This window comes from Homo sapiens, chromosome 4 (assembly GCF_000001405.40).
Source record: "Homo sapiens chromosome 4, GRCh38.p14 Primary Assembly".
In the NCBI taxonomy this organism is placed as follows: domain Eukaryota; kingdom Metazoa; phylum Chordata; class Mammalia; order Primates; family Hominidae; genus Homo; species Homo sapiens.
Genome location: NC_000004.12, coordinates 83,524,542 through 83,549,845, shown reverse-complemented (window position 1 = coordinate 83,549,845; position 25,304 = coordinate 83,524,542). Strand labels below are relative to the sequence as shown.

The following is a 25,304-nucleotide window of genomic DNA, read 5'->3' as shown; positions in this document are numbered from 1 at the left end:
GAGACTGAGGTGGGAGAATCTCTTGAACCCAGGAGGCAGAGGTTTCAGTGAGCCGAAATCACACCACTGCACTCCAGCCTGGGCAACAGAGCCAGACTCCATCTCAATAATAATAACAATAATAATAATAATAAATATATACAAAAATTAGCCAGGCGTGGTGGCACACCCTGTAATTCCAGCTACTCAGGAGGCTGAGGCAGGAGAATTGCTGGAACCCGGGAGGCAGAGGTTGCAGTGAGCCAAGATTGCCCCACTGCACTCTAGCCTGGGTGATAGAGTGAGACCCTGTCTTAAAAAAATAATAATAATATATATTATGTATTAATCATATATATTTCACATACTAATACATAATATTTCATATATATATACATACACACACACACACACACACACACGCAAAATAAAAAAGAAAGCCCCAACCTATAATCCTTCCAACCCCATAACTGAATTATGTTGCTCTCTACAAGTAGCTAGACAAGTTCCTGTATTTTAGCAATAAGATAACCCCATTAGATGCATTACACTTCATATTCTTGAGGGCAACACATACTGGTTTGTATTCACAGAGTTTACACCATAAAATCAAGTTAGCTAATTTAAACTATCAAAAATGGCCTGTCCAAAACAAAATAAGTATATAAAAATATTCCTCAATTTTCTTTTTTTTTTTTTTCAGATGGGTCTCACTATTTTGCCCTGGCTACACTCAAACTCCAGGTCCTCCCCCTTCAGCCTCTCAAGTATCTGGGAGTACAGGCATGCATGATCCCACCTGACTTGATATTTCTCAAACTTCTGTCACAAAATATGATCCCATATTTTCTGTGAATGTATAAGATTTTATTAATGTTCATATAATCAATGTATACAGGATTTCAAGTAGTCAATTGCCTCACAGAAAAAAATTCCCAAAGTAAAATTAGAGGGCCATGTTAGGCAACCTGAATTCTCTCCAAATAGGTATAGCAACCGAAATTTCACCTTAGTACCTTCTCCTTTTTGAGTGTTTAGGTGGGCAAAGGGGCAGAGACTTGGGGGCATGAGATACAAGGCAGAGAGAAATTTAGCACAGGGGCTAAATCAACAGCAGGCCATGAGACCACAGTCTTTGTGTGTGGTGCCGCTGGAGCAGGGCATGGGGTAAGACTTGCAGTGGTTGCATGCACTTTGTGGCCAACAATGCTGAGTCACGCCAGCATCAGCCTCTAAGGGAACAATGCCAAAATGACAAGCCACCGCCTTTATGTATTTGTGGTGTTTATGACTCACTCCCAGGTAAATGCAGGCCTTTATTCATGCTTGGTGACTTTTCATGGTAATCATTTAAAATGTCCTAGTGTCATAATGCAATTAGAGTACAATTCATCTTGAGTCACTAAAATTACATAATTACTAATATTAATCACAATTACTACCAAAGCTATGAGCCGATTCAAACTCCAACCTAACAGCATCATAATCCCTGGAAATCAGATGCCCAAAGAGTAAGGCTGGTGCCTCTTAAAAGTCAAACGATCCTTTGTATATTTAAAACAGGCTAAAATAAAAGTTGCTAGGATCTCAGTCAGACCAAGTCCCAGGGTCCAAGGAGATGCATTTGTCCTATGGCTGGAGCAACCAAAGCACAGCTGATAAAAAGAAGCAAACGAGCCATTATTCCTGTATTTTCTTGTCCTAGCCTTCTATGCTGTGGCTCTAGCACTTCTGCTTTCAGGGGACAAAACTAGGGTAGAAGGGTAACTATAACCTCCACTGAAGTTTAATGCTCAGAATAACAGAGTTACTTGAAGTGGGGAAAAAGATTTACCTTTTTCTTTGTGTTAACAATGAGGAAAAGTCCTTAAGCTTAGAAGAGTAAGATATGGCCCGGCACTATGGCTTATGGCTGTAATCCCAGCACTTTGGGAGGCTGAGGCAGGAGGATTGCTTGAGGCCAGGAATTTGGCACAATACAGCCAGACCCCATCTCAAAAAAAAAAAAAAAAAGGGAAGAAGAAGAGGAAGGTGAAAGTGCAATAACAGAGCTTCTTAACGAGATTTACCCATAATCATATCTGAAGTTCAACAAATTAAATAGCTTTTAAATAAAAGACACAGCAGAATATGGCTAAAGACAGAAGATAATTATTTAACCACAAAGATAATAATTTGCCTAGGCTCAGCTTTCAGTTGGCTTATTCAATAAAAGCACAGAAGAAATACAATGCAAGAGGGATTTAACTGGGAAGGGAGACTTGAAATGCATTTCAAAAAAAAAAATGTGTTTCACTAAATGAAAGAGCAGCAGAGGCCAGGCGCAGTAGCTCACGCCTGTAATCCCAGCACTTTGGGAGGCCGAGGTGGGCAGATCACAAGGTCAGGAGATCGAGACCATCCTGGCTAACACGGTGAAACCCCGTCTCTACTAAAAATACAAAAAATTAGCTGGGCGTGGTGGCGGGCACCTGTAGTCCCAGCTACTCGGGAGGCTGAGGCAGGAGAATGGCGTGAATCTGGGAGGCGGAGCTTGCAGTGAGCCGAGATCCCGCCACTGCACTCCAGCCTGGGTGACAGAGCAAGACTCCATCTCAAAAAAAAAAAAAAAAAAAAAAAAGAGCAGTAGAAGGAAGTTTTTCAGTGCAGAAAATAAGCATAACTCTCCCTCTCAGCTCCTCAAAATCTATTTTCAGGACTATATCATTCAGACACACCTCAAAATTGTACCCACACTCCTGGGGTCCTTGGCCTGCCTGTGACCCTTGCCTAAACTTTGGTACAGAGACATGGTGCTCTCAAGGCCAAAAACTGCACCAGCCAAGCACACAAGTACTCAATGTTTCATCATCACCCTCTATCAGTCTGTCTAGGATTGTGACACTACTTCTCAGATGACTCCAAATACTAGTATGTATCAACAGGGCACACACCCCTTACTTAATACCCCTGGTACTAAGTACCCCTGGATACCCAAGCACGAAATCAGGAGGGGAGCAAAGTTGCATACCATGCACAGCTGTGGGATTAGCAGAGACGAAAGCAGTACATATCAGAGCCGAAATTAGATCTCACACTGTCCTTTGCTTATGCACCTATTTCAGTATTTATCACAGTGGTCTGTCCAATGCCTATCTCCCCACAGGGACTATGTCTTAATCAACTTTGGATCCTTTGTCAGCCCTACATGTTGCAGTTGTTCAATAACTGTGAGAGTCAATTTCCAATTTAACAGGCTACAAGGAAGGGTAGACACTCTGAATGAAATATGACAAATTTTGCGGGTATCAGCATTACTCTAAAATACTATGATTTCTATTTTCTCCTCCTGTTCACTTCCATTCTTTCCTGGAGACACCATAGAAAAGACAAAGATCAAAAACAGAAAAAGCAGATATTTGACAAAGATTATAATAAAAATAGTAATCCAACAAGTATAAATATTCAAAAAGTTCTCATTTCTGTATAGGCAAAAAAAAAAAAAAAACTAAATCCACGCTACTAGACCCTCTCATCTACTGATTTTTTAATCCCATCACCTGCCAAATTGAAATACTTTGTGTCCTTTAAAACTCATGGCTGGGCCGGGTGCAATGGCTGATGCCTGTAATCCCAGCACTTTGGGAGGCCGAGGTGGGAGGATCGCTTGAGGTCAGTAGTTTGAGACCAGCCTGGCCAACATGGTGAAACCCCTTCTCTACTAAAAATACAAAAATTAGCCAGGCATGGTGGCGCACGCCTGTAGTCCCAGCTACTCAGGAGGCTGAGACAGGAAAATCACTTGAACCTGGGAGGCAGAGGTTACAGTGAGCCGACATCTCGCCACCGCACTCCAGCCTGGGGGACAGAGGGAGACTTTGTCTCAAAAGCAGAAAATTTAATTAATTTAATTTAATTTAAATAAGAAAATTAAATTAAATTAAAATTCATGGCCCAAAACATGTACCACAATCACCCCAATCTATTAAGGCCCACTGATTTTCTCTCAAGATCAACAGCTCAGAGTCTCACCAAGCACAACAGAAAACCAGCAACAAAGTTTGTTCTTTCCTTAAATCATAAGGACATACATTTTTTAATGAACCAGAATAATTTTTTTAAATGATAGAGCTGCTATATTTCAGAGAAGGTATCTGGCAATTAAAAAAAGGATAAAATATAGCCAGAAATATCCGGACTTGGTAAAAATGTGATTGGTGATAATATTTGGGTGTTTAAGTATACACCATGAAGCTCTACTAGTTGCTTCAATCATTTGAAAATCATAATCCAATTATACAAAAATACTCCAATGTTTTCAAATATTTTGTTATTTCCAAAACTCACTATAGAATACAATTTCTACAATTCCTTTTAGAAAAGCTTCCAGAAGATAAATTCCTTCCAGTAAAGTATTTGATAGTTTGACTTTTTTTTTTTTTTAAATGAGGTCTCACTGTATTGCCCAGGCCAGAGTGCAGTGGCATGATCACAGCTCACTACAGCCTCAACTTCCAGGGTTCAAGTGATCCTCCCACCTCAGGACCCCACTCTGAGTAGCTGGGACTACAGGTGCGCACCACCACACTCAGCTAATTTTTGTATTTTTTGTAGAGACAGGGTTTCGCCATGTTGCCCAGGCTGGTCTTGAACTCCTGAGCCCAAGCGATCTGCCGGCCTCAGCCTCCCACAGTGCTGGGATTATAGGCGTGAGCCACTGCACCTGGTCAAGCATGTTTCTTTATTGCAGGACTTTTCTGAGCCTTTATTAGTAGGCACTAATACTCTCCAAAGGCAAGTATAGTATGTGATGATTCCTAAACTTATTTCACGAGAAAATTATTTTTTATTTCATGTATTACCAATTAGCCTTCAGCAGAAAAGAGTACTTTGAGGAACATACTTTGAGAATCACAAGTTGGTTAACGAAACCTCAATAATAGGTTTTAACTCCCAGGAACTCCCATTAGCCTTTTTCTTTCTTTTTTTTTTTCTTTTGGCCATCGACTACATCTTTAAAACCACGGACAGCCATCTTCAAATACATGCCCTTAGAAAGGAAAACAATACCTATAAGAACATATAGATGAGCTAACACATATTACCACCTTTACAATAAAAAGTCCATGAAAACTCTGGCAGCTGCAATTTTACACTGACAGAATTATGAAAGATCCAAACCCTATAGAACACACTGCTCTCTGCATATTTCAAGTTCAAATTGGGTAGGTTTACATCCACCCAATTTAAATATGGTAACAATCATAATGAAAAGGAAAACTCACCAACAGAAGCAGAGTTTTTAAGAATCGACTCCTTTGGGGTTCCTTTTTCAATTCGTATTGTGGCCCACTGTTCAAAAACAAGAAATATTAATTTAAACTGTCCCACAGACACAACATAAAACACTTCAACCATGATTATACAGAAGTGAAATTACACATCAAGCTCTGGCAGTGTCTGAACTAAAGAGCTAACCCCAGGGAATCTCTGATATAGCAATATTCCAAGTCCCAAGTATACTTTTATATCACTTACTGATAATACCCTAATAAAATGTGGAAAGGACAATATTTACCCTTTCTCAACTGCCTCACATGCATTGGTGACCTGATAAATTACTCCTTGAAAAGGCTGTGAAGCATGGGGGGCATGAGTACAGGTCACGGCATCAAGAATGTCTGGGTTTGAAATTACTTATTCCCTATAGGCCTCCGTTTCCTCATTGTAAAACAAGGATAATAGATCCTATCCCATAGGGTTGCTGTCACATTAAACAAGATGACACATGTAAGGGCCTAAACGTAGGGCGTAAAGTGTAACAATTATTTTCACAACAAATTAGACATTCAGGGGTAGGACACGCTCAAAGATGCATCAGAAATAAGCTTGCAGAAAGAGGCAGCACAGACTTGGAAAGCTGGAAAGGACTCGATGAAATCATTAACTAAGGCACGATTGGCTCATGCCTGTAATCCCAGCACTTTGGGAGGCCGAGGAGGGTGGATCACTTGAGGTCAGGAGTTCAAGACTAGCCTGGCCAACATGGCGAAACCCCATCTCTACTAAAAATACAAAAATTAGCCAGGCATGGTGACGCATGCCTGTAATCCTAGCTACTCTGGAGGCTGAAACAGAATTGCTTGAACCAGGGAGGAAGAAGGTGCAGTGAGCAGAGATCGGGCACCTGCACTCCAGTCTAGGCAACAGAGTGAGACTCTCTCAAAAAAACAAAAAAACAAAAAAAAAGAATGAAAAAGAAATCATGAACTACGGAAAATGATCTGTCCACATGGTTACTTATGAAGATGCATAGGAAAATGTTACAATTATGAAGATCTACAGATTTGAGGGAATTTAAGAACTGGAAAACAACTCTCACTTTGTTTTGAATATACCTAGGAGTATAAAGAAACGTACCCAGATGTGATTTTTTTATTTTTTTCTTTATACATTTTTTACACATTTCCCAAATTATTCACTATTAACATCATAGTTCAAAAACTGCTAGTGAACTTTTCAAGTCTCTCATTCTAGAGAATCCCAAGGGCTTTTATACTAAAAAGTACTGTAATAATTATTATTGAACATAAGCACCCTTGAAGGGGCAGAGACAAAATTTTTTTTTTTTGAGACAGGGGCTTGCTGCTGCCTTGACCTCCCAGGCTGAAGCAATCCTCCCACCTCAGCCTCCTGACTAGCTGGGACCACAGGCCCGCATCATCATTCCCAGCTAATTTTTGTATTTTTTGTAAAAACCGGGTTTCACCTTGTCGACCAGACTGTACTCAAACTCCTGAGCTCAGCAATCTACTGGCTTCAGCCTCCCAAAGTGCTGGGATTACAGGCGTGAGCTAACATTTTATATTTTATTTTATTTTACTTTTTGAGAAGGAGTTTTCGCTCTTGTTACCCAGGCTGGAGTCCAATGGCATGATCTCGGCTCACTGCAATCTCCACCTCCAGGGTTCAAGCGATTCTCCTGCCTCAGCCTCCCAAGTAGCTGGGACAACAGGCACCCACCACCAGGCCCAGCCAATTTTTGTATTTTTAGTAGAGATGGGGTTTCACTATGTTGTCCAGTGTGGTCTCGAACTGCTGACCTCAGGTGAGCCATCTGCCTCGGCCTCCCAAAGTGCTGGGATTATAGGTGTGACCCACTGCACCCAGCCCAGAGACAGATTTATTAATATGCCAAGTCAAAAACCTCAGTTATTGCTAAGCTCAAAAGAGTCTGTTGACTAGAGAGGTTAAAATTTTTTTCAAATAAATAAGAACATAACTGATAGAGAATAAATAACCTAAAACGTACATCAAGGTCAGGGAGTAACGCATGATATCTGACTACGTCAGGACCCCTTCAAAACAACCCACAGAGCCAAACAAGAACATGCCATTTGCACTTAGAGAACAGCCTATAAATAGAGGCCAATCTCCCAACTTCCAGTGACAAGTGACTAAATCATAAGACTCGGTCTTAATCTGATTGCATCCTGTTATCTTTTGCGGATTTAGTGCAGGAGTTCTCAAACTCTGGACTAATACCACTCAGCTTTTCTCAACTGAGGTAACTGTTTCCATAGTTTTTTACTTAAAGCTTTAGTGCCTATTATCATTTGTAAGTAAACCAGATATGATTAAAATAAAATTTTGTAAACAATCATTGTTAATCTCAGACTCACTTTTTTTCACTGTGGGCAAGTGATTTTATATTTTATACAAATAGTAGTTATCTTAGACTAGAACCATTATTCCATGCTCATATGATGGAAAATGCTGGTATTCCGTGCCTGTTATGGGCTGAATTATGTCCCTCCGAAATTCATATGTTGAAGCTCTAACCCCCAGTACCTCAGAATGTGACTATATTTAGATAGGGTCTTTAAAGAGTGACTAAGTTAAAAAGAAGCCCTTAGGGTGGGCCCTAATCCAATCTGACTGATGTCCTTGTAAGAAGAGGAAACTTGGACATGCAAATAGACACAAGGATGTGAGCACAGAGAGAAAGGGCCACGTGAGGATACTACTACACCTTCTTGCTGGAAGGCGGCCACATCCAAGCCTAGGAGAGAGGCCTCAGAATGAGGCTAAACCTGCTGACATCTAGATCTTGAACCTCTAGCTACAAGAACTGAGAAAATAAATTTCTGTTGTTTAGGCCACCAGTCTGTGGTACTTTGTTATGGCAGCTCCAGCAAACTAATACAGTGATATTCCTCAAATAGCATGATCTGCTCAAAAGCACTCCATGTTTTGGCACCAGACAAGTTTCAGAATGCATTCCATCTCCTGAAATGATAGCTCTAAAGGTCTACCCTGCATAACACAATTACTGTGTTAAGATAAGCAAATTTTAGGCCAGACACTGTGGCTCATGCCTATAATCACAATACTTTGGGAGGCCAAGGCAGGAAAATCCCTTGAGTCCAGGAGTTCGAACCAATCTGGGCATCAGGGTGAAACCTTGTCTCTACAAAAAAAAAAAAAAAAAAAAGGTTTTAAATTAGTTGGGCATGGTGGTACACGTCTGTGGGCCCAGCCACTCAGGAGGATTGCTTGAGCTCAGGAGGTCGAGGCTACAGTGAGCTGTCATCATGACACTGCACTCCAGGCTAGGTGACAGGGAGACCCTGCCTCAAAAAAAAAAAAGATATGCAAAGTTTAAGTTTAAGGTTGAAAAAGCAGACATTTAGTGCCTAAGGGAATTTGCACTAGAAAACCCTTTTCTTCTACAGGTTGATGCCCGGTGAAAGTAAAAACATGCCTGTGCCTTGCAGCTAGATAGATATAGATTTGAATTGCAATTCTGCCACTTCCTGGCTGTAATCATCTCAGACATCAGACAAGAGACTTTAACGTCTTGGGGCATCCATTTCATCATCTCTAAAACAGGGACAAAGCCAGGCATGGTGGTTCATGCCTGTAATCCCAGCACTTTAGGAAGCCAAGGCGGGCAGATCGCTTGAGGACAAGAGTCGGAGACCAGCCTGACCAACATAGTGAAACCCCATCTCTATTGAAAATACAAAAATTAGCCAGGCATGGTGGCTCCTGCCTGTAATCCCAGCTACTTAGGAGGCTGAGGCAGGAGAATCACTTGAATCCGGGAGGGGGAGGTTGCAGTGAGCCAAGATTGTGCCACTGCACTCCATCCAGCCTGGGTGACAGAGCGAGGCTCTGTCTCACAAAAAGAAATAAAATAAAATAAAAATAAAACAGGGACAATACCAAGGGTGGCCATAAAGGCCAAAAGAGATAATGTAGCTGCTGCCTACCACACAGTAGGCCACAAAGTAGCCTCCTCTTCCCTATATTCCATATTTTAGGCCTCTGCAATGGCCAGTTTTTTCCAGACTGTCCAGTGCTTCTCCCCATAAATAGCTATTTCTCTTTTACCATGCCAGCTTCTCTAGCCAATCAGATCCACCCAAATACAAAGACAGAATATCTCTTTCAGATGTTCTGAATCTCTTACAGGGGTATCTCAGAACATATCTGTCTCAAGGCATCACAAAAGAGGCAGCTCTGTCAGCGAAATGGTCCTAAAGTACAAAAGTGGCTTCTAACAACCCACATTCTCTGCCCCCCAAGGAAAGTTGAAAGATACTTATCAACCAAGTTCTCTTTCCACCTAATTTCCAAATCCTCTTGGAGGGAAAAAGGTAGCTGTCCAAAATTCACCAAAAAGAAATGGCTTTAAGTCTGATTTCTTTTTTTTTTTTTTTTTTTTTTAGATGGAGTCTTGCTCTGTCACCCAGGCTAGAGCGCAGTGGCGTGATCTTGGCTCACTGTAGCCTCTGCCTCCCGGGTTCAAGTGATTCTCAGCCTCAGCCTCCTGAGCAGCTGGGATTACAGGTGCACACCACCATGCTTGGCTAATTTTTGTATTTTTAGTAGAGATGGGGTTTTACCATGTTGGCTAGGCCGGTCTCAAATTCCTAATCTCAAGTGATCCACCTGCCTCGGCTTCCCAAAGTGCTGGGATTACAGGCGTGAGCCACCGCACCTGGCCAAGTTTTACTCTTCATAATTTGTATTCCTAAAACAATTTTCTCGACTATAAAGCTGTAATATTAACATACGTATCCAACAAATTATCATATATCCCTTGAAAATCACTGGCTTGGAGAATCACTAAACTTATTCCAAGCTAAGTATTCAAGGCTTATCCTCAAGTATCTTGCCATATCAGTGACTTACGCATACATCTAGAGATACCCAGCAATGCAGAAGAAAATAGAAGTAGGTGCTCAATAAATGATAATTACTTGAACCAGTGGGTTAAGAAGGAGTCAGAGAAGAGCATAAAGTTCAGTGAGTTAACAAGTAACAATTACCAAAATCAGCAATTTAGAGGGTACCCTACACACATTTCAACTTCTAGAATTTGAGTTTATTGTCATGAGAAAGTCACCCATTGACAGTAAAACTTGTCAAAGTAAACATATAATAGACAAAACTAAATGATCTTTTTAAATGGTACATAAATTATAAGCAAAGAAACTTGAGAAATATCCAATTATGATCAGAGCCCAAAGAATATTCTTGGGAATGAAATGTAAAGAAAAATACAACTAAATCAATTAAGAATTTACCAAGGAGTGATACAAGGGCTAGGCCTTGAATGCAATCTACAGAAAGGCAGGGTATTTGGCCAGCACTGAAGATGTTCTAATGCTAAACATCAGCATAATCCCTTAAGGAATTATTCCTATAGTTGAGAAAAGCAATCCACCGTATTAACCCCAGTCTAACAGAAATGTCTTTGAAACATCTAACACTGTTCTAGTTGAAGGATAGAGGATCCTGGGTTACTGTTCTCCTGCACCTAAAGCAGAAATCACTATGGGATCACAGCTCTCTTTCCTGATGAGCTCAGATGCTCCCAAACATAGGAGTTCCAGGCAGCCGCAACCAACAAATCAGAGCTGGCTCACACAATGAATCTGTATTCAAATTCCACATATATCAAGCATCTCTTTGACCTAATAACTTAGTCTCAGCAGACAGGGTGGGTTCCTGATGTGTCACCTACCTGGTTTCCAAGTTATCTGGTTTCTCCCACCAGAATTAGAAAACTGGCATTCTTGTCAGTTTGATTGACAAGGAGTTCAGCTCTGGAGTTATCCAGAAGGACAAAAATTAAAATCTCTGGCCTGTCAAACTGAAAGTCAGATCCTGGACTGGAGATCATCCTATCAGGTATAATAATTTGCCAGGCTGACAGCAACTAGCTGGCCTCCGTCCTTAGCTGACCTTGAGTTACTAAAGAAAAACAGACAGAAGTGAGCCCCTGGAAGCCAGTGGGTGTGATTTACCTTTACACCATTCTTACACAGGGTATAAATTCCAAAAGACATTGCTGTATGAGAGAGCAGTTCAATCATTTCAGAGTTCAGAGAAAGAGGGAACACCAGCTGAAGAGGATCATCTGCTATGGGAGAGGATTCTGAAGATCTCACATTAGGAAGCAGTCAAGAAATTCACAGCATAATGTGACCAAGCTCAGAATGTAAAGTCAATAAGAAGAGTTCAAAACTGAGAAATAGCTCCCAAGTAGAAACAGTAGAACTTTAAAAACATGAGCACTGAGGATGAAGAATCACATACAACTTCAAAGTCTAGGCAAAGAAATAGCCACAAACAAGAGTCTAGGGCAATACAGGAGGCTAGCAAGTACAAGACAATGTCCAGTGGGTTAGAGATGTATACCTGGGAGCCACCCAATTAGCTGAGAAAGAAGAGCAGATAAAGCCACGTCCTAAGGGCAGAGAGAAAACAGGTCACAAAAATGGGAACCAAACTTATTAGAAGGCACTGTGGAATGCCAGAATCTCAGTAATCATATTATTCTTTTAATAGCAACAAGCATTCATACAGTAGGTGCAGGCAGCCTTCTAAGGTGCTTGATACCTTTTAACTCATTTGAACAACCCTATGGAAATAGGAGTTATTGTTACTCCTATTTTATAGATACAGAAAATGAGGCACAAGAGTAGATGACCTCCCTAAGGTCACATTTTGAGAAACAGAGCTACAATTTTGGTACCAAATCTAAGCAAACCTGTATCCAGGGTCCCTAATCCTAACCACTAGGCTGCAGGGCCTCTTCTCAGTTGAGATGCCTGTTTCTGGCCAGGCGTGGGGCTCACACCTTTAATCCCAGCACTTTGGGAGGTGACGGCAGGAAGATTGCTTGAGGCCAGGAGTTCAAGACCAGCCTAGCCAAGATAGCAAGACCCTGTCTCTTATGTTAAATATACACACACACACACACACACACACACACACACACATATTATACATATAATTAAATTTTTTTTTAAAAAAAGACTCCTGCTTCTAACACTTAATTCAAAGAAACCACTGATCTCTGACTCTCAGTTTCCCTCTCTGTAAAAGGGGGTTGGCACTTGCCCTCCCTACCCTACCCAGCCTTTTGACACTTAATAAAACCCTAAGAGTAAGCTGCAGTTGTTCTCTACCAGGCCTACTTCCATCTAACATTTTTCTTTGCAGGATTTGGAAACAGGAGGGTAGGGAGACCTGAGGTCAAAGAATATATACCTTTTCAATGGCATTTCAAGTGCTGTTGGTTAGATAAAATTTCCATGACTCCACTAAAATAAAATAAGATTTCTTTCTGCCATCCAGCAATTGGTCTCTTATCTTGGGCATAAAGAAGAACATGATGCCTTTCTGAACTGGATGCCTTAGTACACAAAAGGACCTCTGAAACCTGGGGCTGTAAAAACAAGCGGGTGAAGCGGAAACTGCACTGCATAATGGATATAAGCAAATCCTCTGATACAAAAAGTTGGTCGCATTGTTGTTATTCTAATCAGTAAAATAATAACGATGCTCAGGGAGTGGAATGATTTTTTCGCCTTCGACCAGAGAAACAACAGAGTGGTCCAGTGGTTCCAGCCTAGATCCCTCCAGCTCCGCGAAAGAAGCCGAGATGCTGACTTTCGCACTGCTGCGGGCAAGGAACAGAAATGCACGCACGCATGCACACGCGCGCACACACACCCCTGACTCGCGACCACTGACCTTGAGAACTGGACCCCCGGGTTCTCAGCCCGCAGCGGTGTGGGGCTGGCTGCATCCCTCCCGGCACTCACCTCTAAAGTTTTCACTAGGATCTTCATGTAGATCTCGGAGATGCCCAGAGACACTCCGAAGACCGAAGGTAAAAGGATGAAGCCGAGAACCAGCGTCAGCCAGGTGGAAAGGATCTTCCCGGCCAGCTCTGCGCCCTCCATGACTCGGCGCACCCACTCAGGAGAGGTCCGCAGTGGAGGGCCGAGCGCCACAGCAGTCCCTGTCCCCAGGCAGTCCCGCGGGAGCTCCAGGAGCAGAGCGCCGAGCCCGGCACTCACCTCTGCGAAGGGAAGAGAGGAAGGAAAAAAACTTTCAGAATTACGGCAATATCCTTCCTTCCTCCCTGGGCTCCTCCTCGCCCCTGCCAGTTAACTCTTTCTCCGCTGGCTGCCCAGGTCTGGGCTGAAGCCACCGCGGCGTGCGGAGACCTGGGTAGCGCGAGCCAGTGGTCGGAGCTGCGGGTAAGCGGAGGCACACCGCGGCGCGGGCAGAGCGCGCGAGCGCAGCCAGGAACCCGCCCCGCCCGGTGCCTGATTTCCTCTGGGTGGCGATTGCGACAACTCAGCAGATGACTCACGGAGGCCCTCCCCGAGCCAGGTTCCCTGCGGGAGCACCGCACTTTGGCACACCGGTCGCCGGCGGAGCTGGCACCGGGCCGCGGGCTGTGCTGGAAGCTGGCTGCGCTCGGGCGCCCAGCGCCCTATTTCTGCGCGCTGCCCTCGCCCCACCTCCTCCGTCACCCAACGGGGGAGCTCCCTGGCAGTACTTAGCCCAGGAGTGCCGCAGCCTCCTGGGCGGTCTCCGTTCTTCCCCGCGCCCCGCCTCCCCCAGCACTCAGCAAAGGTCCTTTCAGGAGGAGAGTTTTCATCTGAAAAATGTCAATATTTTCTTCACCCGCAGAATGAACTGCTGACGTATCTGGGACGCTTGAGGTCTTGTTTGTGTGGGTGTAAAACGAACTCTTGGAAAGGGCTTCCAAGGACAGGAAAACGCAGAGCGCACCACGCAGCCGTGTACGCCGCTTCTGGCTTCCACACCTCCTTCCCCACATGGCCTACAGCTGTGGGGCTCAATCTTGCTTATCCCGAGAGTAGGAAGCTCTCTCCACGCGTTGCCTAGCCCACTGAGCCGCCATCTCCCTGGCACAGAAACCCTGCGGCTAAGTATCTGTCACTCCCTTTCTGGGGGAAGATTCCAACCACACCTTCCCCTACCATTCAGCCAATACTATCCGCGCTTAGGCGTAGCAGAAATGCCAGGCCGGCGCAAGCCTTCATTCACCAAGCTGACAGGTGTCTCCTGGGTGTTCAGGCTCCGCGCTTCTACCGCGCCAGCCCTTATCAGAGCAACGAAGGGCAAAACCCTGTATGTTATTTACTACATTGCTGTTCTCTTAGAGACCAGAACTATTTTTAAGAATGAGCAGAAGGGATTTTGAGAAGGGATTTTCCAGATTGCCGCTGAATTCGACCAAAATCTCTTACAGGTACTTTTCAGGTGTTGTTTCAAGCTGGAAAAAAACTGAGAGGGCCAGCAAACTGAATTGAAACAGCGCTGATAGCAAATATTGCAGAGAAAATGGTCCCTGCCCAGGGTGTGGAGGAAGTGGGGAGCCAACGAAGTGACAAGCCCCTCTGTAAAGAATGTAGATGTCTGCCTTAAGTACTTACTGCCAGGTAGCTGTCACAAGCCCCCTCCCACACTAAGAACGGAAAAAATTATAACTTGATGATTAAAACCAGGTTATGGACCGGGCGCGGTGGCTCACGCCTGTAATCCCAGCACTCTGGGAGGCGAGGCGGGCAGATCATCTGAGGTTAGGAGTTCAACACCAGCCTGGCCAACATGGCGAAACCCCCGTCTCTACTAAAAATACAAAAAAATTAGCCCCGCGTGGTGTCGCACGCCTGTAGTCCCAGCTACTCAGGAGGCTGAGGCAGGAGAATCACTTGAACCCGGGAGGAGGAGGTTGCAGTGAGCCGAGATCGTGCCACTGCACTGCAGCCTGGGAGACAGAGTGAGACTCAGTCTAAAAAAAAAAAAAAAGGGTTATGAATGAAGAAGTGTTAGGAGCTTGGTTTCTCAAAATTAAACCTCTGTAAGGTTGGCTAGTTTAGAAAAACACGGAAAACGCAACTACCGAAAGCTGCCCAAAGTCCTTGCTTTCAAACACTATATATATTGAGTGCAAAACTTCAAATATTATATTGGCATATTTAACACCATATGTTCAGGCAAAACTCTTATTTTCCTTTTATTTCCTCAAACCAAGATAACTAAGGAAGGCTAAATCCTTGTACCAAAGTTTACCCCACAAGGGAGATAATACACACAACTTTGCGTGTGCTGAGTGCACACACTCTCCAGTGATTTTTGGTGCTCATGAACAAACTCCACAAAATGGTTTTGGTTTGGTTTTGTTTTAACTGTTACGGAAGAATTATTCGTCCACAGCTGTATGGTGCAATGGTAATAAAATGGAATTTGGAGTCTTCGATTGAGAGCAGCACGAACACATATAAGTTTGAGCAAGTGCTTCTGTGCTTCACCTTTCTCATCAGGAAGATGGGTTCTTCTCAGGGTTGAAAGTGATTGTGAGCATGAAACTGCATGGTAAATGACAAAGCTCTATGCAGAGATCAGCAGGCAGCCTGGTGCAAGGGCAAAAACTCTTCATCTTTTTCTTGCCTAAAAGGCAGGAGAGCCAACACAGGCTCCCCAGGGTAACAAAGGCTCATCTTTGCAGTGATGGAGGAGGGTGAGGGAAGAGAAGAAATGTAGGGTGATCCTGACCCTGTCTCAAGTCGGGGAAAGTTGGTCCCGACTTGCCGCTCTCCTTGTCTCTCTTTCACTCTCCTCACCTCTCCTCCCTCCTCCATTCCTTGAGACTTAAACCTAGGTAGGAACCTACTTTCTCCGTCCCTGAAGTCAAGACCCCCTTTACTTACTGTATTTGTTTCCTAGGGATGCCTTCACAAATCACCACAAATTTAAGGACTTAACACAACAGAAATTGATTCTCTCAGTTCTGGAGACCAGAAGTGTGAAATCAAGGTGTCTGTCTGTAAGGTCACACTCCCTCCAAAAACTGTAGAGGAGAATCTTCCAGCTTCTGGTGGATCCCAGCATTCTTTGGTTTGTGGCAGCACACACATCTCTGCCTCAGTCTTCACATGACCTTCCTGTCTCTTCTTCCCATCTTTTCTTTTACAAAGACACATTATTCTGGATTTAGGGCCCACCCTCATCCAGGATGATCTAATCTTGAGATTCTTCCCTGAATTAAACTTAATCTGCAAAGACCCTTTTTCCAAATAAGGTCATATCCATAGTTAGGGGTGTTAGGACTTGGACATACCTTTTGGGGAAGGTGCAATTCAACCCGTTATAATTACCATCTCTGTAAAATGAGGATAATAACACCTACCTGCAGAGGTTGTTATTGGGATTGGAGAGTATGTATTAAATGGTAGTTGATAGTCAATGCTTAGTAATGAATTTATCCATAATCCTGTTTTTTTACCTATTAATCCAGGCATGTATATATATACATGCCTCCCCAAAAGATATGTCCAAGTCCTAACACCCGTAACTATGAATATATATACACACCTGTATATATATACACTTACACACCTGTGTGTATATGTACACATATATATACATACATATGTGTATATATGTGTATATATATGCATATATATACACATATGTATATATATGTGTGTATATATATATACACACAAACAGCTGATCTCTACATATATATGTATGTACAGGTGTGTATGTATATATATATACAGGAGTGTGTGTATATATACACATATACATATATACATATATAATACACACATATTATATATATTATATGTACACACGTATACTATATATACAGTATATACATACAGTATATATACATACATTGTATATATACTGTATGTATAGTATGTATGTATATATACACATATATAGTGTATATATAAGTGTGTATATACATATAGTATACTGTATATATATACATACTGTATATATGCAAAGCTCTATGCAGAGATCAGCAGGCAGCCTGGTGCAAGGGCAAAAACTCTCCATCTTTTTCTTGCCTTAATCTGCAAAGACCCTTTTTCCAAATAAGGTCATATCCATAGCGGGGAGATCACCTGCCTCGGCCTCCCAAAGTGCTAGGATTATAGGCTACGTGTATGTGTGTGTGTGTATACATATATATATATATATATATTTTTTTTTTTTTTCATGACAGCCTCAGGAGGTCCTGACGACATGTACCCTACTGCACTCCAGCCTGGGCAACAGAAGAAGACCCTGTATAAAAAGCAAAAAAAAAACCCATTGAGGTCCAGCTAAGTGTATGGATATCAAAGCAAAAATAATTGATTCCAAACAGCTGCCCTTACCTGTTAACTCATTGTGTTATTCAAGTCTTCTTCAAGCCTCTGCTTTTACAGCAATTGTGGCCAATGTGAACAGAATTTAGGCTAAAAAACTTTGAGCAGTTGTCAATATTGTCATGAATAGAAGCCTATGGCAAATAATACGTCATAGCTGAAGCCAAACAAAGACTATTCGTTCAATTTAAAAGGTATGGTAGAACTCAGAAGTCTGGGGGTGAAGCAGACTTTTGAAGTACTTTATTCAACAGACAAGTTGCATTGCTTATCTCCAGTATCTTTATAAAATCTTTCTTTTCTCTGGTTTTATTTCACACATTTCTTGAGCTTTCATTATATCCTGCCTTGGTTTGTGTATTAGATGAATTTTCCCACTGTGAACTCATTGCTTGATATCAGAAGCTACAGCATTCATCATACCTTTCTGCCTGTTATTCTACCCCTTTTCCACCTGCACAGAATTTCACTTCTTGACACACCCTTGTTTAAAGCCAGCAGCAACTTCTGTAAAAGAAAAACTTCAGCCAAATTAAATTTAAAGGAGTTTAATTGAGCAATGAACAATTCACGAATCGGGCAGCTCCCAGAATCACAGCAGATTCACAGAGACTCCAGGGGTGCCTCATGGTCAGAAACAATTTATAGACAAAAAAAGTAAAGTGATGTACAGGAACAGAACAGCTAGATTGGTTACAGGTTGGTGTTTGCCTTATTTGAACACAGTTTGAACACTCAGCAGTCTATGAGTGGTTAAAGTATGACTCCTGGGATTGGCCAACACTCAGCTATTGTTACAGGCACATACTCTTTTTTTTTTTTTTTTTTTTTTTTTTTAGAGACGGTGTCTTGCTCTGTTGCCCAGGGTGGAGTGCAGTGGCATGATCTCAGCTCACTGCAACCTCCGCCTCCCAGGTTCCAATGATTCTCCTGCCTCAGCCTCCCAGGTAGCTGGGATTACAGGCAGGCGCCACCACGCCCAGCTAATTTTTGTACTTTTGATAGAGACGGGGTTTCACCATGTTGGTCAGGCTGGTCTCAAACTCCTGACCTCAGGTGATCTGCCTGCCTTAGCCTCCCAAAGTGCTGGGGTTACAGGTGTGAGCCACCACGCTGGCCAGGTGCATACTCTTAAGTTAGGTTTTTCGATCTTGTCTGCCTATTAAGTTAGGTTGCAGTTCATCCACAAGGACTCAAATATAGAAGCACAGAGTCCTTCTCAGACCATATTTAGTTACTTTAACGCTCTCTAATAGCCAGAAGTTAAAGCTGAAATACTGAACATCTTAGGTTAGATCTGGAAGCATTCCACAGTCTGCATCCAACCCAATTTTCATCACATGCCAAAAAAAATCTTTCCCACCTTCTGTTTTATGCAGGGTTTCTTCTTCTCTGGGTCTTTGGTCACATCCCAGTGCTTCCCCCAGCGCACATACACACACACCTGTCTCCTGTTCTCATCCACATCCCTCACTTCACAGGTCAGGGATCCATCATGGAGATCCTACCAGTTGCTGAGTATGTCTATTCCAATTTTGCATTCCAGGACTGGGAAAATAACCACAGGATGGGTTCAAAGATTCACTGGGCCCAATATAAGATGGACCTGAGATAAAACTCCATTGATCACCTGCCCTACATAAGCTCCTAGTTTTACTTGTGAACCAGGATGACATGCTCCCACTTCCTTCACGTCATTCCCACACAATTCTCTAGATTTCTTTCAGCATACTTTGCAAAAAAATATGCAGTTCTTTGGCCAGGCACAGTGGCTCACCCCTGTAATCCCAGCACTTTGGGAGGCCGAGGTGGGTGGATCACCTGAGGTCAGGAGTTCGAGACCAGCCTGACCAACAGGAGTAACCCCGTCTCTACTAAAATACAAAAATTAGCCGGGCGTGGTGGCACATGCCTGTAGTCCCAGCTACTTGGGAGGCTGAGGCAGAGAATCACTTAAACCCAGAAGGCAGAGGTTGCAATGAGCCGAGATCACACCACTGCACTCCAGCCTGGGCAACAGAGCGAGAAACTGTCTCAAAAAAAAAAAAAAAAGCAGTTCTTTTGGAGTACAGTATACTTTCTCCTAGGACATATTTTGGAGTATAGTATACCTCACCTTTCATGACCTGCTAGGACTGGAGTCTAGTTCTAGTCTAGAACCAGACAGGAGTGATGGAGGCAGGTCCTGAGGAGAATGAGCAAGGCAAATGCCTCAGGGAAGGCCATGACACATTCTTCAGGCAAAGGAGGGCTAACTTCTTCAGGCAGTGGTGGAAAGCAGCTACAACTGGCAAAGGAGATGCATCAGAACTTAGGGATTCTGTAGCCTCAGCTTCATCAAGATCTGCCTTGTTCCCATACCAAATTCCAGGATCCTGTTCCTTCTCAGTCAAGGACTCACTTTTGTATTTAATTCAGCCCTTGGCAGATGGAGACTCGGGGGTTGGTTTTCAGAAATCTTTGCCATGTGGCTACAGGAGATGAGGGTTTATTTCAGGACAGACATAGAAGCGTTCAGGTTTTTTATGTGGAGTATGACCTGAGAATTTGAAGGCTTGAGCTCATCCTTTTCTTTTCCTACTACTCAGTGAAGTTAGGAACAATCAGCCAATCTTATTATATTCCGTAGTTTGACTAAAAGCAAATACTTGGACACCCAGAACCTTGCCTCCAGTAGATATTTTATTAGAAGTATCCAGTGGCCATGCCTTGCATATCTCTTACCATATCATAATGTGGACTACCAGTGCCCTCTTTACCACTGAAAATAGAGGCATTGGTGCCTTCAAAACTAACCAGATTAGAAAACCAACTCCAAAAACTCATTCTTATGATTCTGTTTCTCTATAACCACTTCCACTACCAAAATTTCTATCAGTCAAAATCTTTTTTTTTTTTTTTTTTTTTTTTTGAGATGGAATCTCACTTTGTCACCTAGGCTGGTATGCAGTGGCACGATGCCCACTCACTGCAACCTCCACCTCCCAGATTCAAACTATTCTCATGCCTCAGCCTCCCAAGTAGTTAGGATTACAGGCGCGTGCCACCACTCCCGGCTAATTTTTGTATTTTTAGTAGAGACGGGGTTTCACCATGTTGGCCAAGCTGGTCTCGAACTCCTGACTTCAAGTGATCCACCTGCCTCAGCCTCCCAAGTAGTTAGGATTACAGGCGCGTGCCACCACTGCCGGCTAATTTTTGTATTTTTAGTAGAGACGGGGTTTCACCATGTTGGCCAAGCTGGTCTCGAACTCCTGACTTCAAGTGATCCACCTGCCTCGGCCTCCCAAAGTGCTGGAATTACAGGTGTGAGCCACCATGCCTGGCCTCTATCAGTCAAAATCTTAATCAGAACAGAAGGAAATATGTATTAAGAGATTTACTGTAAACAATCATTTATGCAATTGTGGGGACAGGCAAGGCAAGTCTGAAATACACAGGGCAGGCTATCAGATGGAGCTGACTGAAATTCTAAGGCACAAGAAGCTATCAGTAAAATATCAATATCAATAAAATAACTTCACAGTAACACCTAGATTGTAACTAGAGGACTATAGCCCCTGAATAACTGGAGACTATATCCTGGCCAGTTCGATGCATCAAAAATATAATAAATCCCATGTATGAGAGAATGAGGCTAAAAAAGGAAAATAACATCTCAGTATTAAAAAAAAAAAAAGATAGTTTTGACCTCATGGACCCTCTGAAAGATTTTTGTTTTCCAGACAGGGTCTCACTTTGTCACCCAGGCTGGAGCACAGTAGCATGACCACAGCTCACTACAGCCTTAACCTACTGGTCTCAAACGATCCTCCCACTTCAGCCTCCAGAGTAGCTGGACTACAGATGCACACCACCATACCCAGCTAAATTTTTAATTTTTCTGTACAAATGGAGTTTCTTTATTCCCAGGCTGGTATTGAACTTCCAGGCTCAAGCAATCCTGCTGCCTCAACTTCCCAAAATGTTGGGATTACAGGGATGAGCCACAGTGCCCAGTCCCCCTGAAAGGTGGCGAAGCCTTCCAGGAGTAGCTGGGCTACACTTGGAAAAATGCTGGATTACATGAAAGTAAGTATCCAACAAAAAATAATGCCACTTGGAGGTACATTATTTACAGTGGAATTGCCTAATACCCTGTGCCCTATTTAACATATGTGAATTAAATTATATGACTAAAATAATGTAAATAACAAAAATTAAAATAGTGGTCATTCCACTCGGAGACCTTTTTGAAATGGGGAATATAAATGTGCTTTTCCTTCTAGAACTCTCAGTTCCTGGGGGAAGGTCTCTCAAAATGTGAACATTTTCTCCATGGAGTGCAATCCTAGTGTTTAAAGCTATAGTTTATATTTTCAAACTGCTCAGCCCTAAAAGCCACATAAGTACTTCATTTGTGCTCAGTCCAAGAAGTAATGAATCTATTCCAATAATGGAAGCATAACTGCCCAACAGATTCTTCTTGCCCACTGCCCAAATAAAGCCAATTTATTAAGACAAGAGAATTGCAATAGAGAGTTTAGGCCAGGTGCGGTGGCTCACACCTGTAATCCCTGCACTTTGGAAGGTCAAGGTGGGCGGATCACCTGAGATCAGGAGTTTGAGAGCAGCCTGGCCAACATGGTGAAACACAATCTCTACTAAAAATACAAAATTTAGCCAGGCATAGTGGCAGGCACCTGTAATTCCAGCTACTCAGGAGGATGAGGTAGGAGAATCGCTTGAACCTTTGTTATCCCAGCTATCGTCTTTGTTTCAAAGTTAAATGATAAGCTAAATTCCTCCTGTAGTTAGCTTGGCCTACACCCAGGAATGGACAAGGGCAGCTTGGAGGTTAAAGGCAAGAAGGAGTCAGTTAGGTCAGATTTCTTTCACTGTCATAATTTTTCTATGTCAGATTTTTTTTTACTGTCATAATTTTTGCAAAAGGCAGTTTCAGAAGGAAAACTAACATGGTGAGAGGTCGTCTAAAATGGTCACCATGATGGCGAATTTCTAGGGAACTTTTCAAGGATAATATTGATTGATACATCCAACTTTTTCTTAGGCTTTTCTTAGGCTTAAAGCCTAATCCTTGGATCTACTGTTAAAAACTTTAGACAAATTAAACAGAGTTTAATTGAGCAAAGAATGATTCATGAGTCAGACAGCCCACCTTCCAAAACCAGAAATAGATTCAGAGCAACCCTGGCACTACTGTCTGGTCAGCGAAGATTTATAGACAGAAAAAAGAGTGACACACAGAAAATGCAAGTGAGGTACAGAAAGAGCTGGATTGGTTACAGCTCAGTGTTTGTCTTGCTTAAATAGCTGGCCACCTGTGAATGATTGAAGTATGGCTGCTGTCTTGAGAGTTGGCTTCTTGCTCTTGCTACAAGAGTAGGTTATAGTCTGTTTACACATCCATTTACACATCCAGTTTGCTATGTACAGATAAACCTTTAGGCCAAACTTAAAATATGTAAGGAGGTAGCTTTAGGCTAAACTTTATCTATTTGTTTGTTTATTTATTTAAAGAGAAACTCGCTCTGTTGCCCAGGCTTGAGTGCAGTTGCGCCGTCTCAGCTCACTGCAAGCTCCACCTCGAGGGTTCAAACGACTCTCCTGCCTCAGCCTCCCAAGTAGCTGGGATTACAGGCATACGCCACTACATCTGGTTAATTTTTGTATTTTTAGTAGAGACTGGGTTTCACCATGTTGGCCAGGCTGGTCTTGAACTCCTGACCTCAGGTGATCTGCCTGCCTTGCCCTCCCAAAGTGCTGGGACTTAATCTAGTCTTATTGGAACCACTGTCATAGTATCTGATACCTGAACCTACTATATCAAGTCTTCAAAGTAGTAGTGAGAGCTAGAGGTGAGAATTTTCATCCCAGGGCAAACGATGTTGTCATTACACACTTGCTGAATTGAATGGAGGGTCTCACAGGGGCAAGTATGAAGCTTGAAGGAGTGGGTACACAGGTGAAGAGAAACCTCTGAAGAGAAAGCCCAGGCTCTCCTCTTCCCAACTCATTTATATACTGGTTATATGTAAATCAGCAGTCACAAGCCAGAGAACCACAGGCCAGATGCCCTTTACAAAGGTCTCATAAAATGTTCTCTAAAAACTTTGAGTTGGCTGGGCAGTGTTTCCCACCTGCAATCCCAGCACTTTGAGAGGCTGAGGTGGGAAGATTGCTTGAGCCCAGGAGTTTGGACCAGCCTGGGCAACACAGTGAGACCCCATCTCTACAAAAACTAAATTTTAAAAATTAGCCAGGCCAAGTGTTATACACTTGTAGTCCCCACTACTCAGGAGGCTGGGGTGAGAGGATTGCTTGAGCCTGGGAGATAGAGGGTGCAGTTGAAAAATTGCCATTGCAAAATTATGACAGTAAGAGAAATCTGACATAGTTGACTCCATCTTGCTTCTAACCTCCAAGCTATCCTTGCTTATTCTTGGGTGCACACCAAGCTAACTTTGGGAGAAATTTGTAGTTTAAATGATAGTAACCCTTCCCAAAACTAAACTGCCTTTCTAAAACTAAAGAAAGTCCAGCAGGTTAGAAGGATGACAGGGGCCCGAATTCTGCTAAAATGTGGGCTTAAACAATTACCAGCCATTATTCTGGAGGTCACAAGACTCGCAACTTCTCCAATTCACTATTTCAGAACCTAAGATTGGCCTTTTGGGACATCTCTTTAGACTTTTGCATTTCTGAGAACTAGATGGCTCCACCCAGACCCTCAACTCTTAGTTCAACTGGTCCTGTAGCCCCTACCCAGAAGCAGACTCAGTGTGCAAGGACCATTGTCCACAGCCCTATGATTGCTTCTCCAACCAATCAGCAGCACCCATTCCCTTAGCCCACTGTGCACCAAACTATCCCTGAAAGACCCTAGCCTCTGAATTGTCAGGGAGATTGATTTGAGTAATAACTCCATCTCCCTATGTGGTGTGGCCAGCCTTATGTCAATTAAACTCTTTCCTTACTACAATGTCATGGTCACAGTGAATTGATTTTGTCTGTGCAGCCCACAGGAAGAACCTGTTAGGTGATTACACAGTAAGCCATGATCATGTCACCACACACCAGCCTGGGCAACAGAGCAACACCCTGTTTCAATAAATAAATGGCCAGGCTCAGTGATTCATGCCTATAATCCCAGCACTTTGGGAAGCCAAGGCAGGTGGATCACTTGAGGTCAGGAGTTCGAGACCAGACTGACCAACATGGTGAAACCCCATCTCTACTAAAAATACAAAAATTAGCCAGGCGTGGTGGTGGGTGCCTGTAATGCCAGCTACTTGGTAGGCTGAGGCAGGATAATCACTTGAACCCGGAAGGCAGAGGCTGCAGTGAGCTGAGATCACACCACTGCACTCCAGCTTGGGCGACAGAGGGAGACTTCGTCTCAAAAAAGTAAATAAATACATTTTAAAAATTTGAATTGATTGCCCACATATTAAAATATTGACACTAAAATTAAAATGCCTATATTATTCTAAAATCAGGTGTTAGAGAGGGAAAAAAATTACTTCCCTCCACCCTTCTCGGTTCTCGTATATCTCTTTTGGCTGGGCTATAAATTAAATTGACATAAAGCAGATTAACAGGAGAAAAAACATACTGAATTACATATATATGTACAAGAGTCCCACAAAATATGGAACTTGAAAAGGGGCTGGGTGATTGAAGCTTTCAAAGCACTCTGAGCTACTGAAGGGAATACGGGCTTGGAGCTTTTGGGGTGTGGTAAAGACAAGTTATGAGAGGGTGAGGGGAGGAAATGCATGGTAGATAAAAGCTGTCTTGTTTTGGGGGGTTTTGTTTGTTTGTTTGTTTTTGTTTTTG

General features: G+C 42.9%; 1 protein-coding gene across 6 annotated transcripts in view, besides 2 other annotated features; it reads right to left on the bottom strand.

Moving 5' to 3' along the window:
- GPAT3 (glycerol-3-phosphate acyltransferase 3) overlaps nt 1-14,259 on the bottom strand; it is a 70,289-nt gene extending 56,030 nt beyond the window's left edge. The window contains exons 1-3 of one of the 6 annotated variants that reach the window (XM_017008780.2): nt 13,957-14,259; nt 13,083-13,342; nt 5,244-5,310 (exon numbers count right to left, since the gene is read on the bottom strand). In XM_017008780.2, coding sequence (XP_016864269.1) covers nt 5,244-5,310; nt 13,083-13,342; nt 13,957-14,113 — 484 coding nt within the window. In that variant the 5' untranslated portion in view covers nt 14,114-14,259. Of the gene's footprint in view, nt 1-5,243; nt 5,311-10,993; nt 12,148-13,082; nt 13,740-13,828; nt 13,933-13,956 lie in introns of those variants that run through there. The other 5 variants (NM_001256422.1, NM_001256421.1, XM_017008781.2 and 2 more) reach the window with 5 other exon arrangements.
- Nucleotides 723-1,922: an enhancer, noted in NCBI's record as "P300/CBP strongly-dependent group 1 enhancer chr4:84469077-84470276 (GRCh37/hg19 assembly coordinates)". NCBI's record gives its function as "activates an origin of replication core promoter dependent on BRD2, BRD4, P300/CBP, MED14 and CDK7 cofactors, with strong dependence on P300/CBP, by STARR-seq in HCT116 cells {active_cell/tissue: HCT116}" and the evidence as "EXISTENCE:reporter gene assay evidence [ECO:0000049][PMID:35650434]".
- Nucleotides 1,056-1,350: an enhancer, noted in NCBI's record as "tiled region #4722; HepG2 Activating DNase unmatched - State 5:Enh, and K562 Activating DNase matched - State 5:Enh". NCBI's record gives its function as "activates a minimal TATA promoter and a strong SV40 promoter by Sharpr-MPRA in HepG2 and K562 cells {active_cell/tissue: HepG2 | K562}" and the evidence as "EXISTENCE:reporter gene assay evidence [ECO:0000049][PMID:27701403]".
- Nucleotides 14,260-25,304: the final 11,045 nt, after the last annotated feature.